This window comes from Homo sapiens, chromosome 20 (assembly GCF_000001405.40).
Source record: "Homo sapiens chromosome 20, GRCh38.p14 Primary Assembly".
In the NCBI taxonomy this organism is placed as follows: Eukaryota; Metazoa; Chordata; class Mammalia; order Primates; family Hominidae; genus Homo; species Homo sapiens.
Genome location: NC_000020.11, coordinates 58278431 through 58295927, shown reverse-complemented (window position 1 = coordinate 58295927; position 17497 = coordinate 58278431). Strand labels below are relative to the sequence as shown.

Here is a 17497-nt window from a genome sequence, read left to right as displayed (position 1 = left end):
TCAAGCAATTCTCCTGCCTCAGCCTCCTGAGTAGCTGGCATTACAAGCGTGTACCACCATATCTGGCTAATTTGTATTTTTAGTAGAGACGAGGTTTCACCATGTTGGCCAGGCTGGTCTCGAACTCCTGACCTCAAGTAATCCACCTGCCTCGGCCTACCAAAGTGCTGGGATTACAGGTGTGAGCCACCGCACCTGTCCTTAGAAATGTAAATTCTAGAAAATTATTATTTTTTTGAGAGAGGGTCTTACCCTATCTCCAAGGCTGGAGTGCAGTGGCACAGTCATAGCTCACTGCAGCCTTGACCTTCCAGGCTCAGGTGATCCTCCAATCTTAGCCTCCCCGCTAGCTGAGACTACAAGTGCACACCAACATGCCCTGCTAATTTTTTCTACTTTTTGTTGAGATGGGGTCTTCTTACATCGTCCAGGCTGGTCTCAAGCATCCTTCTACCTTGGCCTTCTAAAGTGCTGAGATTATAGGCATGAGCCACCACACTGGCCTCTAGAACATTCTTTTTGAGAGAAAGGATCATTTTATGTGCTAATCTCATTGTTAAGGGACACAGCAAACTAGCTTGGTGGATCTTTACCATGCATGCATTCTTTCATTCAGCAACTTTTATTGAATGCTTGAGGTGGCCTAGACATATCAATGAGTCAATCAAAGATTCTTACCCTAAGGGTAGGAGTGGGAGGAGTGGACACAGCTGACAAGCAGTAAACCCAGGAAGTAAATGTTTTGTGTGTTCAAAGGCAGGGGGTTCTCTGGAAAAACAGGAAAGTAGATCAGGATAAGGGGGCTATAGATGGGGGACTTGGAATTTTAAAATAAGGTGGTCAGGGAAGACCTCATTGAGAGGATGATGAATGAGCAAAGATTTTTAAGAGGAGAAGGAATTCTTTGTAGAGGGATCAGCCAGTGAAAAGGCCCTCTGCCGAGGGACTGAGCGTCTGGGAAATAGCCACAAGGCCTGTGGCTGGAGGCAGAGAAGGAGAGAAGTGGGAGATAAGGCGAAGAAGTAAGGGTTGGCCAGATCTTTTCCACTGACCGGACAACCCGCAAGTAACACTGCCGGGCCAGTCTTTCTCTTTTACAGTGTTTCTTAACTGGGGTGATTTTTGCCTTGCTTCCCCCCACCCCCAGGGGACATCAGACGATGGCTGGAGATGGTTTTGATCGTCACAACCTGGGGAGGGAGTGCTCTGGCAAGTCGTGGGTAGAGGCCAGGCATGTTGCTAAACTTTCCACAGTACACAGCCCGCAAAACAAAGTATAATCTGGCCCGGAATGTCAATAGTGCTGAGGTTGAGGAATCCTGCTCTGTTATCTTTATATAGTTCATCAGTTGTTGATTGATTTAGTTTGTCTTTTAAGATTTAATAAAGAAAAAAACATAAAAACGTCATGGGAAAAGGTTATTCATCACGTTACCTGGTTAGAATGCCTTCACAATTGACATTGAAGCGAATGCTGGCATTTTCATTCACTTTGAGGAAAGGAGAGCCAAATCTTGCTTCCATGTATATTTTAGGAAGCGCTGGTGCATTGAAGGATTACTTAAAAAAAAAAATACACCATTCACAGGTAAATAGTAATAATCTTACTGATAATCTTATTAATTTGGACTCAAGTAGGATTTCCTAATTTTGAGGAAGTCTAGACTGTTGATCCACACCAGGGAAAATGTTTGCATATGTGGGGAAAGAAATGATTGTCAGTACTTGGAATGAAAAGTACTATTCTTCACATATGAATATGATGGTATTAGTAGGAATATTTTCCTTGGATTTTGCTAATCCAGTATTTTTTAGACATCAGTCATTTGTGTGCCACTTTTTTCTATTTTTATTTTAATAATACCACCTGGATTTTTCTTCATATCAAATAACTTCTTTTATTTAAACACATTTTAGAAAACTTTCATCAGTTGCTCTAAATGAAACTTAACCAAAATGTAAAACAGAAATAAAATAACATTAAATTCTATATATATAGACACAGTGCCTGCAAAAGATTCTGAGCTGAGATCTGCTTTGTATTAAAAGGAAGATTACCAGTCTTAGGGAAGTGTTCAAGACATGCCTGGACAAAGGGAATTTCCTTGATTTAATTGGAAAATGAAGAAGAGAATAACTGTCCCACTGTGTGATTTAATGACATTCAGTGTGTCACACTTGAAGATATGCTGTCTCAAGCTGTCTGCACTCTGTGGCCAGGTGACCAGGCTGTGCACTTGCAGCATGGCTGGCTGGGCTCAAAGCTGTGCCTGATAGTATAGAAACAACCAGTGAGAGAATGGAGGCGGGATCTCGTTGGCTGTGATTGGCCACCAATGGCCTATTAATGCAGAACTCTCCCAGGGTGGTAGCAGCTAGACAGCCTGGTTCTTTGTTCTTTATAGGACTAAAATTGTAATTCCATTGCTTAAAACAGAAATCCCTGTTATTTAGACTTATTATTTCTGATGAATTTTAAACATCTTTCCTCTCTCTGCCCTTCCTTATATACTTAACATGAATTACCAAAATTTGTTCTACTAAATTCATTAATAAGATGATTGAATACTTTTGATTAATTCGTGTACATTATATTGACTGTGCGAATTCATTAATTTTACTTGAACAGTTACGTTTTTGACCTTTTTTTATTTGAGACTGAGATACCTCATTTTGTAAGCAGAAGCAAATTAGTTAATGTCTTTGGCTGCCTTCTACTCACATTGTGGGTACACCTACAGGTGGTTTTAGGCTAGGTGCTGCATCTCAGGTTTGGTTTTGTGAAAGCTGGATTTTCTCAGCTTTCTCAGGGGCTGATAGGCTTTCATGAATTGAATCCTGGTAATCAAAGTCTTGGTAGAGTGATTTCTATAGACACCGGTGTTTATTAAGTGTCTGTACTATGTGCCAGGCATTATATCACATGGTCCCAGTGTTTAAAGGACCTCCAGGTCTAGCTCTACAGATAGAAACAGTCTACTTAGAAGCCAGGTCTGGGCTGGGCGCGGTGGCTCATGCCTGTAATCCCAGCACTTTGGGAGGCCGAGGTGGGTGGATCACCTGAGGCTGGGAGTTCGAGACCAACCTGACCAACGTGGAGAAACCCCGTCTCTACTAAAAATACAAAATTAGCCGGGCATGGTGGTGCATACCTGTAATCTCAGCTACTCGGGAGGCTGAAGCAGGACAATCTCTTGAACCCGCGAGGTGGAGGTTGCGGTGAGCCGAGATCACACCATTGCACTCCAGCCTGAGCAACAAGAGCAAAACTCTGTCTCAAAAAAAAAAAAAAGAGAAACCAGGTCTGGTGGTGCGCGCCTGTAGTCCTAGCTACTTGGGAGGCTGAAGCAGGAGGATCTCAGGAGTTCAAATGTAGCCTGGGCAGCATAGCAAGACCCTGTCTCTACAAAAATAAACAAAAAACAGAAAGAAAGAAACAGTCTACTTAGAGTTAATATTGTACCACTTTATGTAAAATGTTGAAGCCTGACAACTGCATAGTTCCATTTACTGCTCCTGCTTTATGTTATAGTTTAAAATATATAGAACCTCTATATATGTTATAAATTCCACAGCACAAGGTTTTAATTTTTGCTTTAAACTATCATATGCATTTTTAAGTTAAGAAGAATAATAGTTTTTAAATATTTACTGTTTCTAATGCTCTTGATTCCTTTTGAAGATACAGGTTTCCAAATGGTATCATTCCACTTCAGCCTACAGAACATCTTTTAATATTTCTTATAGTCCACATTGGCTGGCTGTGTAAAAAGGGTGTGTTAGAAACACATTTTTAGCATTTTTTTTTAATTGGACAATGTCAGATTCCTGGAGGATATTTTCACTGGATGTCAAGTTCTAGATTGCTAGTTTTGTCTCTCAGTCCTTTAAAGATGTGGTTTCGTCTCTACTAAAAATGCAAAAAAATTAGCCGGGTGTGGTGGCGGGCGCCTGTAGTCCCAGCTACTCGGGAGGCTGAGGCAGGAGAATGGCGTGAACCCGGGAGGCGGAGCTTGCAGTGAGCTGAGATCGTGCCACTGCACTCCAGCCTGGGCAACAGAGCGAGACTCCGTCTCAAAAAAAAAAAAAAAAAAAAAAAAAGATGTGGTTTCACTGTCTTCTGCCTCTACTGTTTCTGGTCAAGAGTCAGTGGTCACTCAAGCCATGACTCCATGTGTATGATACTTGTTTTCTCTGCTGCTGTCCGGATGATCATGTTTGGTTACTAGCAGTTTGACTCTAATGTACCTAGATGCAATTTTCTATGTATTTATCCTCTTGGCATTCACTAAGATCCTTGATTTTGGAAATTTACGTCTTTCACCAAATTTGTGGAATTTTTGGTCATTATTTTGTCACCTTCATTCTTTATTAAGTCCACTCACTCAGTGAATTTTTCAATTTCAGATAATTGTTTTAGTTCTCAAATTTTTATCTGGTGCCTTTTTATATTAATGTTTCTTTGCTGAGGCTCCTTCTCATTCATGGCATATTTTCCTTTCCATCCATAAGCATTATTGTAATAGTTGCTTTAAAGTCCTTGTCTGTAATTCCAGCATTTGAGTCCTCTCAGAGTCACTCTGTTTTGATTTTTTTTTTTCTTCCAGCTAGTTCAGGTTTTCTCATTTTCTTCATATGTTGAGTAATTTTGGAGTATAACCTGGATATTGTGAATGTTACATGTTGTAGAACCTCTGGATTCTGCTATATGCCTCCAAAGAGTATTGATTCTGTTTCTTTTGTTTTATTTTACTAGGCACTTAAATTGACTGGGGTCAGACTGTTAACTCATCACCCCTAGAGTGGATAATATTCCAAATCTTGGTTCAATTCTTTTAGCCTTAGCTGTACTGATTGGAATTTGTCACACGAATGCTTGGTTTAGGGCTCAAGCCAGGGTTTGGGCAGAGTTTAATACAGAGGCTTCCCCTGTTTGACTCTTTCCTTTCTGGGATTCCTCCTCTTTGCCCTTCCCCATACTCTCTAGTGTCTGTGGTTGCCCTGAACTCTGGAAATACAAACATAAGCAATATTAGTAATAGAATCGGCTAATGATTTAATGATAATAATAATTCTGACTCTGCCACTCTATGAGTAGCAATTTTCTTAACTTCTCTGAGCTGCTTTTTTGTTTTCTAATTTTTTTTGAGACAGGGTCTCACTCTGTCGTCCAGGCTGGAATGCCATGCTGTGATCATAGTTCACTGCAGCCTCGACCTCTTGGGCTCAAATGATCCTCCCTTCTCAGCCTCCTGAGTAGTTGGGACCATGGGCACATACCATCACAACCACTGAGTTTTTATATTTTTCTTAGAGGCAAAGTCTCACCTTCTTCCCCAGGCTGATCCCCAGCTTCTGGGCCCATGCGATCCTCCCACCTCAGCCTCCCAGAGTGCTGGGATTACAGGCGTGAGCCACTTTACCTGGTCTGTTTTTTATTTTTTTAATGGGATTAATATGGTTTTTAATCAAGATTTAACAAACTACTGCTACTACACAGAAAGCTCTTAGCACAGTTTCTGGTTTATAGGGGTAACCAAGAAGAGTAAATTATTATTCATTATTTTATGGCTTATACATAGCTTTTATTTCCTTGTTGATAGTGTAGTTTTATATAGTTAATGTGGTAGGATCATTAATATTCTCCAGTAACATCTATACTTTGGTGGAGCTAATTGCTAAGTTTGTTAGTTGTCTGACTAAACACAGTTTTTTGAAGAGTGTCTGGGTATTTTCTGTTATTTTAAAACACCATGTTCTTAACCCATAAAGTACACAGTGATCCTCAGAAGATCTTTTGAAACCCCTGATCCTGTATGAAAAGTATTGAATGTATATGACTGTAGATATCTTCAGGTTCCAAAACTGTCTGTTACCCCAAAGCTTGGGAACTACTGCTTTAAACTTAACGTTTTCAAGTCCATTCCAGCCTGGGCCTGCAAATGCTATATAACTCTCTGTGGGATCGAGGCTGCCTATTCCTTCTGGACTCTGAAGTGCATTGAGAATAGCTCGTATGCAGTGACTCTGGTCATCGGGCTTGGCTGTGACTCAGTGTGGACCTGTTCATCCAAGGCAGCTATTGTGCAGAGAAATGGCATATTTGATTATGTGATACATATTTTTTCTGTAACTGTGTAATTCTTTATTAAAATTCTCTGAGTAGCTGTTATACAGTGTAAATTTTTAATAAGCTCATATTATTAGCCTAAAATAATTAGTTGAGGAAAAATGTGGTTCACGTTCAAAGAAAAGTAAGTACCTAGGCACAAACTTGTCATCTCTAGATTGAACTCTTTTCCATTACTGCCTGCATTGACTTTGGGTTTTCTACCTGCCTGGTAGGACTCCTCTACTTTTTCACATTAGTGCCATCACCAACTGTCTAGTTTTCAGGGCGAGGGGTAGGAGGGATGCATTTCCACCTCTAGAGCAGGTGCCGATTAATCTTTCTGGAACTAACTATTGATGCTGTTATTTTGCCAAAATTAGCCTCAGGGAAGTCCTCAGCAGCCTGTTTCTTTATCTTTATTTTCCTAGGTTAGCAATGGAAAGGCTAGGTGGGGGAGTGGGAGAAGGGAGGGCTCTGCCAGGTGTGTTTCTCTTTACTGGGCACAAACTCTGCCAGGCTGTCTTGGAAATAGCAAGAGTCCTCTTGATAATTAGCTCTCAACTCCAGGTAGTTCCCTGCCTGCCTTATCCTTTCAGTGATGGCCTCTTTTCTAGCAGGAATGGGAGGAGAAGATGACTGCTTAATAGAACAAGTTGGTCATATCAGGGATTCTTAAAAAAAGATGGTTATATTTCTTTTTTTTTTTCTTTTTGAGATGAAGTCTTGCTCTGTCGCCCAGGCTGGAGTACAGTGGCGTGATCTCGCCTCACTGCAACCTCCACCTCCCAGGTTCAAGCTATTCTCTGCCTCAGCCTCTGGAGTAGCTGGGATTGCAGGCATGTACCACCACGCCTGGGTAATTTTTGTATTTTAGTAGAGACGGGATTTCACCATGTTGGCCAGGCTGGTCTTGAACTCCTGGCCTTAAGAGATCCACCCACCTCAGCCTCCCAAAGTGCTGGGATTGCAGGTGTGAGCCACCGCACCTGGCCAAGATGGCTACGTTTCTAAAACTTCTAATTTTAATCAAAGAATGGATATTCATAGGCTGACCGTGTGATCTGAGCCAAGGCCTTGCCTTGCTTGGCACATGGACCCTTTCCCTTCATCCATAGATCACACCGGTAAGGCCTCGTCTACATTTCCAGGTTCAGTGTCTTATGTGGAGTGAGAAGACTTGTATGTCAGGCAATGCAAATGTAAGCCCTTGTCACTTTTTACAGTGTGTTTACAGTATTTTCCACTTGTTTTATCTACTCCTAATTTGACAGCTATATTTTAATAACTCATTTTTATTGAATCTTTCTGAAGAATTCAAACTAACGTTCAGAAATAACAGCACAGGACCTGACTGTTAGTAAGCAGGTAACTCCTGTTGGGAATAGCTGCGCATGAGCCTCCTTCTGGTTAGGGCAAACTGGGTGAGTGACCGAGGGAAAGTTGCCTAACTTCTTTAGGTATTGGTTTGCTCATCGGTAAAACAAGGATAAAAATCTTACTTGGTTGAGTTGGTGTGGGAATTGAACCACATGTGAAAGCTACTTCCCTGTCCCTGGCCTATTATAAGAGCTCAAAAAATGTAGCCATTATTTTTATTATTATCATCATCCCAACAACTCCCCTTACCACTGTTATTCCTAGAGAGTAGCCTCTTTGCTATGAGTGTTCATTGCCCTGGGATTAGTCAGTGTGTTTTATAGAGTGGATGGAAAGATTAAGTTAATTCAGTGGTTGGTGTTTTGTTGGAGAGCATACTTGGTAAAATGCATAGTCTTAGAGTAAATTTACTCATTATGTGTTTAATAATGTTCCAGGGGCACATAGTAGGTGCTCATTAAACACATAATGAGTACATTCACTTTAAGACTATGCATTTTACCAAGCCTATGTGCTAGGCTTGGAGAATCCAACAGTAACTGGACATAGTTCTGCCCTCAGGAGCGTTTATTGTGTAAGGACTTCCTGCAGATAAACAGTGAACTTCCTGTTGCAGGAGGCTGGCTCAGGTTGCCATCACCAGGGGCACTTGAGGTGTGAGGAGAGTGGGAAGGCAAGCCATTCTAAAGAGGCTGCGCCCTAGCTGAGACCTTAAGTCTAAATGGGAGAGAGTAGATAGGGAACAGCATCTTCTGAACACTGTGGGGGATGTGAAACGTGGGAGTAAGTAAAGGGAGGTGAACAATGTCAAGGTCAGCCAGATCCTGCAGGTCTTCCCATGCATGGTCCCACTGACTCCAGCATCCTGATGGCACAAGGAAGGGGTCTCATCCCACCCTCAAGATGAGAACACGGAAGTGTGGACAGGTGACGTGACGAACTCTGGCCACATAGCAGTGAGTGGTAGTTGTGGGATTCATCCCATTCCAGGTGTGTTTGGCTCCAGAGCCCATGAATTCAGCTACCCACTGCACAGGAGGGAAAAGAGCAGGTTTAAAGAGGAAGAAGGGCTAGGCATGGTGGCTCATGCCTGTAATCCCAGCACTTTGGGAGGCCGAGGCAGGTGGATCACCTGAGGTCTGGAGTTCAAGACCAGCCTGGCCAACGTGATGAAATCCTGTCTCTACTAAAAATACAAAAAATTAGCTGGGTGTGATGGCGCATGCCTGTAATCCCAGCTACTCAAGGAGGCTCAGGCAGGAGAATCACTTGAACCAGGGAGGCGGAGGTTGCAGTGAGTTGAGATTGGGCCACTGCACTCCAGCCTGCGCAGCAAAGTGAGACTCCGTCTCAGAAAAAAAAAAAAGAAAAAAAGAGGAAGAGGAAGGATGATAATTGGCTCATTTTTGGCCACAATGAGTTGGAGGAACTTGTTGGATACCTGTGTGGAGAGGTGTGGTTGGGTGTTGTGGGGCCACAGATACGGATGGATAGGAATGTATGTCATGGCATCTTTGACGCTACATGAGTGCGTTTAGAACAGACCGGATGTGGGGTGGACTTTCTGTCAGAGTCTTGCTAACAAGTAAGGCCAAACTGATTTGTTTTTCCTTCAACTGCTTTAACCTGTTTGCACAGCCCTGCGTGGTGAGCAGGGCTTCTTAAACAGCAGGGCTTTCTTAGAGGTGTACATCTGCTCACTTGCTGAGTTCTCCAGTAGAGGATTGGTTCCTTTCACTCATGCATTAGACAGACTGCACTAAAAGAAAGGCGTCCGGCTCTTCTTTGTTACTCTGGTACCTATTATTTTCTTTTGCGGTTCTTCAACTGACCATTTCATTTTGGGTGAATTCTCAATGTTGCGATTCTTAGAGACTTCAGCTGTGAAGGTAGAACACATGCCACAAGGCCATGTCTTTGCCCAAGTGTGACTTGTCACAGTTGATGCACACTTTTGAGCGTGGGTTCCCCCCCTTCACTCTTCCTTTTTAGATGGATTTGAAGACTATGGTACAGATTGCGACAACATGAGAGTAACGGCCTTCTTGGACATTCCAGGCCAGGATAACCTGCCTCCACTCACTCGCCTGGAGAAGTATGCTTTCAGCGAGAACACCTTCAACCGGTAAGCCCAACCAGGCCTGTGTATGTTGACAACTCTGTGTTGTGTGCTTTAAGCTGACACTTGGGGCCACTTCTCTGTGACAGCTTTGAGGAGACTTCATGGATGATGAGGTAGGTTGGATACAGATTGTCACCAGGATGCTGGGCTTCTGTCTGAATGGTACCATCTTATTAGGCTTTTTCATTATTTTTGTTATTGTTTTGCTGACCACCTGGTAAGCCAGGAAGGAAATGGTGATGAATTTCATGGTGTTTAAGTGATTAGGATTGCTAACTGGGTTTCTTTCACATATGCAGTACTCAGAAAAATCATGCATTCCTTAATTGAGAAGCACCAAGAAGCGTCAGTTGGAAGCATTGTCTGCCCGCTTTGTATTTTGACTGCGCTGTGTATCAGGAACTTCGGTGGCAATGTGTCATGCCATGCTCCGTTGTCACCGTGTACGGTGTTGGCAGGGTTCGACTCCAGGCCCACCTTGGCTCAGTAGATGACCTTGATTCTTAATATCCTGAAGAAAGCAGAAATTAAGGCTTCCCTTTACATTTACGTGCTACCCAAACTTCTGTGAATCTGAAAGCATTCTCCCCTCCTTTCTCAGCAGACAGTCTCTCTCCTCCTGTTCTGCCCTTTGATGGGCCCTCCGTCCCTGATCCCTCGCCCCCCTCAGGTTTGCCTTCTGTCGTCTGTGTCTCCTCTCCTGTTACAGGTGCATATTCACCCCACTTGCAACCCTGACTTGTCTTGTTCTAAACTATCCTCTGAGCTTCCCTACTTCCTTCCCCATGTAGTCCCTAATACACCACCTGCCAAGACTTGATGGTACTCACATAGCCTCTTTCCTTACCTTCATTGGCTCTTGCTTTTAAAAATTACATTCTGGCTGGGCGCGGTAGCTCACGCCTGTAATCCCAGCACTTTGGGAGTCCAAGGTGGGCGGATCACGAGGTCAGGAGATCGAGACCATCCTGGCTAACACGATGAAACCCTGTCTCTACTAAAAATACAAGAAATTAGCCGGGTGTGGTGGTGGGTGCCCATAGTCCCAGCTACTCGGGAGGCTGAGGCAGGAGAATGGCATGAACCCGGGAGGCGGAGCTCGCAGTGAGCCAAGATCACGCCACTGCACTCCAGCCTGGGTGACAGAGTGAGACTCCATCTCAAAAAAAAAAAAAAACAAAAAACAAAAATTACATTCTATAAAAAAAAAAAGAAAAAGATAAAACGAAAATTACATTCTATGCCAAATATAGGCTAAGCCCTTTCATCTATTAAATCATAGAAAGCTCACAAGGATGTTATGGATGGATCCATTTAATGTTGCAGGATGAGTCCATTGTTATTCTCCTTTTATGCTAGGGAATGATGATACCTTGAATGGTGTCTTTTTTCTTTTTTGTCTTTCTAGTTTTGGCATCTAGCTACCGCCAAATAATGTAATTTAATTTTATTGTTTCTGGACTTTATATATGGGAAATCATACAGGATACATTACTTTTATGGATTTCGCATATATTAATAGTTTGAATTTGTTCTTTTTCTAATAGTGTTCTTGAATATACTGACATTTATCCATCTGCTATTGTTAAAGAAGAGTTTTGCTGTGAACAGTCTTGTAGATGTATCTGGGGACACACAATTATGCGTTTCTGTAGGACATGTACCCAGGAAAGAAATACTGTGTGACGGTGTATGCTTATCTTCTGCTTTAGTAGATAATGCCAGTTTTCCAAAGTGGTTGTATCAGTTTATACTCCTACCTTTGCCCTACTTTTTTTTTGAGACGGAATCTCGCTCCATTGCTCAGGCTGGCGATCTTGGCTCACTGCAACCTCTGCCTCCTGGGTTCAAGCAATTCTCCTGCCTCAGCCTCTCAAGTAGCTGGGACTACAGGCGTGTACACTACCACGCCTGGCTAAGGTTTGTATTTTTACTAGAGACAGGTTTCACCATATTGGCCAGGCTGGTCTCAAACTCCTGACTTCAGGTGATCTACCTGCCTCGGCTTCCCAAAGTGCTGGGATTACAGGTGTGAGCCACTATGCCCGGCCTTACCTTTGCCCTACATTTTATCTGCCAATTGGTATTGTCAGATTTTTGTATTTTAGCCAGTCTGTAGTTTGGTAGTGTATATAACGATATCACTTTGTGATTTGAATTTTTATTTTCTTTACTGTGAGTTTAAACACTTTTTCATATGTTTGTTGGACATCTGTATTTCTTTTTTGTGAAGTGCCTGTTCAAATCTTTGGTTGAATTGGTAGGGAGAAGATGGATTGTTTGTCTTTTTATTATCAATTTGTAGGAGTTCTGTGTATATTCTAGATTTCAAACCTTTATTAATTATGTATGATAAACATCTTTCAACTGGTGGCTTGTGTTTAAACTCTCTTTATGGTGTTCTTTTGGTGACCAGAAGCTATTGGTTTTTTATTTTTATTTTTATTTTTTGTTTTTTTTTTTTGAGACTTTGGGTAACAAGGTAACAAGTTCTGTTACCCAGCTAGAGTGCAGTGGTGCAATCATAGCTGGAGTCTCAAACTCCTGGGCTCGAGATCCTCCTGCTTCAGCCTCCTAAGTAGCTGCCACTACAGGAGCATGCCCAGCTACTTTATTTTGCACAGAGACAGGGTCTCACTATATTGCCTAGGCTGGTTTCAAAGTCCTGGCCTCAATGGTGTGAGCACCGTGCCAGGCACACAAGTATTCACTTTAATGTAGTTAAATTTATTGACATTTTCCTTAATAGTGCATTCAGAAGCTTTTTTCTCTATTTCTTTATATTGCTTTAAAGCCTTTATTTTTTTTCTGTGAAATAGATATACTATAGTTCTGTAATCTGCCTGAACTTAATTTTTATCATAGGAAAAATGGCTCCAGCTTCATTTTCCTAATTGTCACAATGTCATTTATCAAAAGTATGTTCTTTTCCCACTGCTCTGGAGTGCCACCTCTGTTACAGTCCAGCCTCTGTTTACAGTCTTTGGACTCTCCCCTCTTTTCCAGTGGTCCCCTCAGCCAATACTACACTGTTTTGGTTGCTATAGATTTATAATGAGTCTTGATATTTGATAGAACAAGTCTTCCCATCTTGTTTTTCTTCTTTGGCATGACTAGTTATTCTTGGTACTTTGTATTTTCATGTAAATTTAAAATCCAGCTCACCAGATTCTAACAAAATGAAACAAAACAGAACATCTATTAGGATTTTGATTGGGTTTGCATTGAATCTATAGGTCAATTTGGAGAGTATTGCCCTTTTTACAATGTGTAGACTTCCAATCTGTAAACATGGTTTATCTTTTCATTTATTTAGGTTTTCTTTAGTTTCTCAATACAGTCTGATCATTTTCTCTGCAGAGGTTTTGTGCTTTTTTTCGTTGTGTATTTTAAAGGAAATTTGAGACATCATATTTTATCCAGTTAAGGACTTAGAACAAATCTAACTGTACTATCATTATCACATTTAACAAAATTAACAACAATGCTTTCTAGTTTATCACTCTATGTCGAGTTTTCCTGACTAAAAAATACCTTTTTATGGTTGATTTGTTTGAGTCATGATCCAAATAAGGTCTATAGATTTCATTAGGTAGATGTGTCTCTTAAGTCTCTTTTTGTTTACAGGTTTTTTTCCTTTTGATCTTAAACTCTTTTTAATCTCAAATGGTTCTCTGTTTCATCTTTCTCCATATCATTTATTTGTTGAAGCGGTCATTAGCTTAGAGAATTTTCCACATTCTGTATTTGGTGGTCATGATTCTCATGGTATCATTTTCCCTGTCTTTTCTGTAAACTGAAAATTACGTTTGGAGAATTTATTATATTCTGCTTCAATTTTTTTTTTAAGCAATACTTCATATGTTGTTTTGTGAAATTCTTATTACAAGACACCAGGAAACAATGTCTAGTTGTCACACCTTTAGAGATTTCATATTGAGCAGTGGGCTCAGGTGTTTTATTCTTTCATTATAAAATTCCTCACCAGTCTTTCTTCTGATGATTTCAGGATTCACAAATAATCATTGCTTAAATCTGTTATTTCATTCTGGGTTGGAAAATGACAATTTTTTTTTTATTGTCTGTGAGATGTGTTGTGTCCCCATTTCCATCCTGTTATTTGTTGTTTGTGCCCTCTCTCTCTTTTTTTATCCCCCTAGATAATTCTTACCAGAAGGTTATGAATTTCATTAGTTATTTCAAAGACTCAAGTTTTGGCTTTGTTTCTGTTGTATGTTTGTTTTCTATAATAGTTCAATAATATCTGCTCTAATCTGTATTATTTTTTCCTTGGGTTTTTTTTTTTTTACTTTTGGGATTTAATTGCTGTTCTTTTTCTTACTTTAAGGATATTTAGCTCAGTTTTTTGTTTTTTTGGTTTTTCTTTTGTAACATCTGCATTTTATATTGTACAATTTCCTCTTAAGTACTATGTTACCTCAAGTTTTGATATATAATGTTTTTGTTATTTCTCAGCACAAGTATTTTTAATGTTAATGATTTCTCCTTTGATCATTTAGTTATTCAGAAGTGTGTTATTTCCAGATACTTGAGGATTTTGCAGATATCTTTCTGTTATTGATTCCTAGTTTAATTCGTTTGTGGTCAGAGAACATACTTTGTATTTTTTCTCTTTTAAATTTGTTGAGATTTATTTTATGGCTCCGAATGTGTTCTATCTTAGTAAACTATTACATGTCTGCTTGAAAAGAATGTGCGTTGCAATGCACTGCAATGTTTTTTGGGTAGAGTATCTTACAAATATCTTATAAATTAGGTCAAGGGTAATATATGCTTATCTATTTTCTGTTTACTTGTTCTGTAAATTACTAAGAGAAATGTTGCTACCTGCGTCGACAATTGTGGATTTATCTACGTTTCCTTTTAATTTTAGTTTTACATATTTCACGTATTTTGAAGTTTTGATGTCGGGTGCATACACATTTAGTATTGTTCTGGTTTGTTAAATAAATTGATTTCTTTTTTTTTTTTTTTTTTTTTGAGACAGTATCTTGTTCTATTCCCCAGGCTGCAACCTCTGCCTCCTGGGTTCAAGCAATTCTCATGCCTCAGCCTTTCGAGTAGCTGGGATTACAGGCATCCACCACCATACCCAGCTAATTTACATATTTTTAGTAGAGACAGGGTTTTACCATGTTGGCCAGGCTGGTCTCGAACTCCTGACCTCAGGTGATCCACCCACCTTGGCCTCCCAAAGCTGGGATTACAGGCGTGAGCCACCGTGCCCGGCCTGATTTATTAACACTGTGTAATGTCCCTTTTTTTCCCTAGTGATATTCTCCTTTTCCGAAGCTTACCTTGTCTGATATTAATATATACACTCTAGCTTTCTTTTGATTAATGTTTGTGTGGTATATTTTTATCCATACTTTTATTTTTTACTTATCTGTCTTTAAAGTGTGTTTATTATAGAAGGCATATAATTAGGTCTTGCTTTTTTATCCAGTTGTACAATCTCTGCCTCTTAATTTGAATGTTTAAATCATTTCCATTTGATGTTACTATTGATATGGTTTGTTTAAATCTACCATCTTGGTATTTATTTTGTATTTGACTATTCTTGTTTTCTGTTTTTCCTGCCTTAAATATATCAGTTTTTTTCCACTGTTGGCTTACTCGTTATACAGTACCTCTTCTTAAACATTTTTATGGATTTTTCTAGGGATTACAGTATACTTCTTTTATTCATCATGACATATGTTCAAAATGATACCACTTTCCATGCTGTAGAGTTGGAGATGTTGCATAAGAGCCTCACAACGGTGTTCTTCCACCTCTTCCCCTCCATCTTTCACGCTGTTACTTTCCTACACTTTACTTCTACACAATTCATACATTTCAGAATACCTTTTTACTATGTTTGCTTTATATAGCAACTATCTTAAAGCAATTACAAATAAGAAAAAGATTTTTAAATATTTGCCATTTTTTTCTTACCATTTTTGATGTTTTTTGTTTCTTTTTGTAAAATGCTCATTTCTATCAGGTATCCTTTTGCTTCAAGAACTTCCATTAACAATTTTTGTTTTGTACAAGACTGTTGTCAGTGAATTTTCTCAGCTTTTGTTTATCTGAAAAAACGTTTCATTTCCATTCTTTCTTTAACTAATAGACTATTTTTGGCGGGATTTTAGATTTACAGAAAAGTCGAGTGGGAAATACAGAAAGTTCCCGCATTCCGTAGCTGCCCAGTGTGCCCCGGGTTTCCTCTAGATCTTTCCATGCTGTTCACGCTTATCTTAAAGTCCTCGTCTCATCTTTCCGACATCCGGGGTTTCTGCCTAACTTCTCATCCTCACACTCCTCATCTCTCTGGCTAGCCCCTCTGTGTTCTTCTGTGTTTCTGTCATATCCTGTGGGCACTCTCTGTGGGTCCTGTCCCTACTGGTCATCATAATTTTCTTGTTTACTTCCAGGCCTAGACTGTAAAGCTCCTAAGAGCAGGGCCTGGACCTTGCTTATCCTGGTATCCCAAGCTTCTTGCGTTGAGTCTAGAGTTGGTTGGGCTTAACACATAATTATAACTGAGTGATTGAGTGATACTTCCATGGCTGGATTTCCAGGGAACATTGGTTATATTGCCACGTAAAATTAAGCCATTCTCTTTTTTTTTTTTTTTTTTTTTTTGAGATGGAGTCTCGCTCCGTCACCCAGGCTGGAGTGCAGTGTTGCAATCTCAGCTCACTGCAACCTCTGCCTCCCAGGTTCAAGTGATTCTTATGCCTCAGCCTCCCGAGTAGCTGGGATTACAGGGACACATCACCATGCCCAGCTGATTTTTGTATTTTTAGTAGAGATGGTTTTTTGCCATATTGGACAGGCTGGTCTTGAACTCCTGACCTCAAGTGATCTGCCTGCCTTGGCCTCCCCAGCCATCCTCTTTATATTAAAAAAAAATTCACAAACATAATACATGCCCATTGAAATATTTAACAACTTCAGGAATTTAAATAGAGTTTCCCTCCCTCCCCCACTACAACCTTGGGAAGAGCTGTGAAGTTTGGTGAGTACCCTTCTAGATTGCTTCCTAAATAAGTGTATGTATATATGAATGTGTTTATGTGTACATGTGTTGCACATGTATACCTAAATGTAACTTGTATTAAGAAATGGGCTTGGCTGGGCGTGATGGCTCACGCCTGTATTCCCAGCACTTTGGGAGGCTGAAGCAGGCAGATCACGAGGTTCAGAGATAAAGACTATCCTGGCCAACATGGTGAAACCCCATCTCTACTAAAAGTACAAAAATTAGCTGAGCATGGTGGCGTGCACCTGTAGTCCCAGCTACTCAGGAGGCTGAGGCAGGAGACTCGCTTGAACCTGGGAGGCAGAGGTTGCAGTGAGCTGAGATTGTGCCACTGCACTCCAGCCTGGGGACAGAGGGAGACTCTGTCTCAAAAAAAAAAAAAAAAAAAAATAAGAAATGGGCTCATACCATATGCAAAATTTTTCACCTTTTTTCATTTAATGTATCATGGATATCTTTCTAACTTAGTACATATCTAGAGGTACTAAGGCCATACAAATAGTTGCATGGTATGCAAGGGTATAGATAGATCGTAATTTATTTAAGCTTCTCTCTATTCATTTGTTGTTGGCAGCTGCATGTCTTGTAATCTAGTGGCTGGCGCCGTAGAGGACTTACAGTGTGCCACTCCCCAGCTTTGTGCTTGCTACACACCATGTCGCTGAGTCTCCCTGCGCTCTTCTGAGTCAGGCAGGGTTTGTCTCTCCAGAGGGCCGCTTTCTTCTTTCATCTTATTAACAAAGCTAACAAACAAGTGAGAAGTATTGAGGCCGAGGCTTCAGGACTCTGCTCATCCACTGTGGGCTCTCCAGGTCATTGCAAAGCAGCCAGGTTTTCC

At 40.6% G+C, this 17497-nt stretch overlaps 1 pseudogene across 1 annotated transcript in view; it reads left to right on the top strand.

Moving 5' to 3' along the window:
* The window catches only part of PPP4R1L (protein phosphatase 4 regulatory subunit 1 like (pseudogene)), a 76663-nt pseudogene that overhangs the window by 13512 nt on the left and 45654 nt on the right, over positions 1-17497 (top strand). The window contains exon 3 of the transcript NR_003505.3: positions 9482-9614. The product of NR_003505.3 is annotated as a protein phosphatase 4 regulatory subunit 1 like (pseudogene) (transcript). The remainder of the gene's footprint in view (positions 1-9481; positions 9615-17497) is intronic.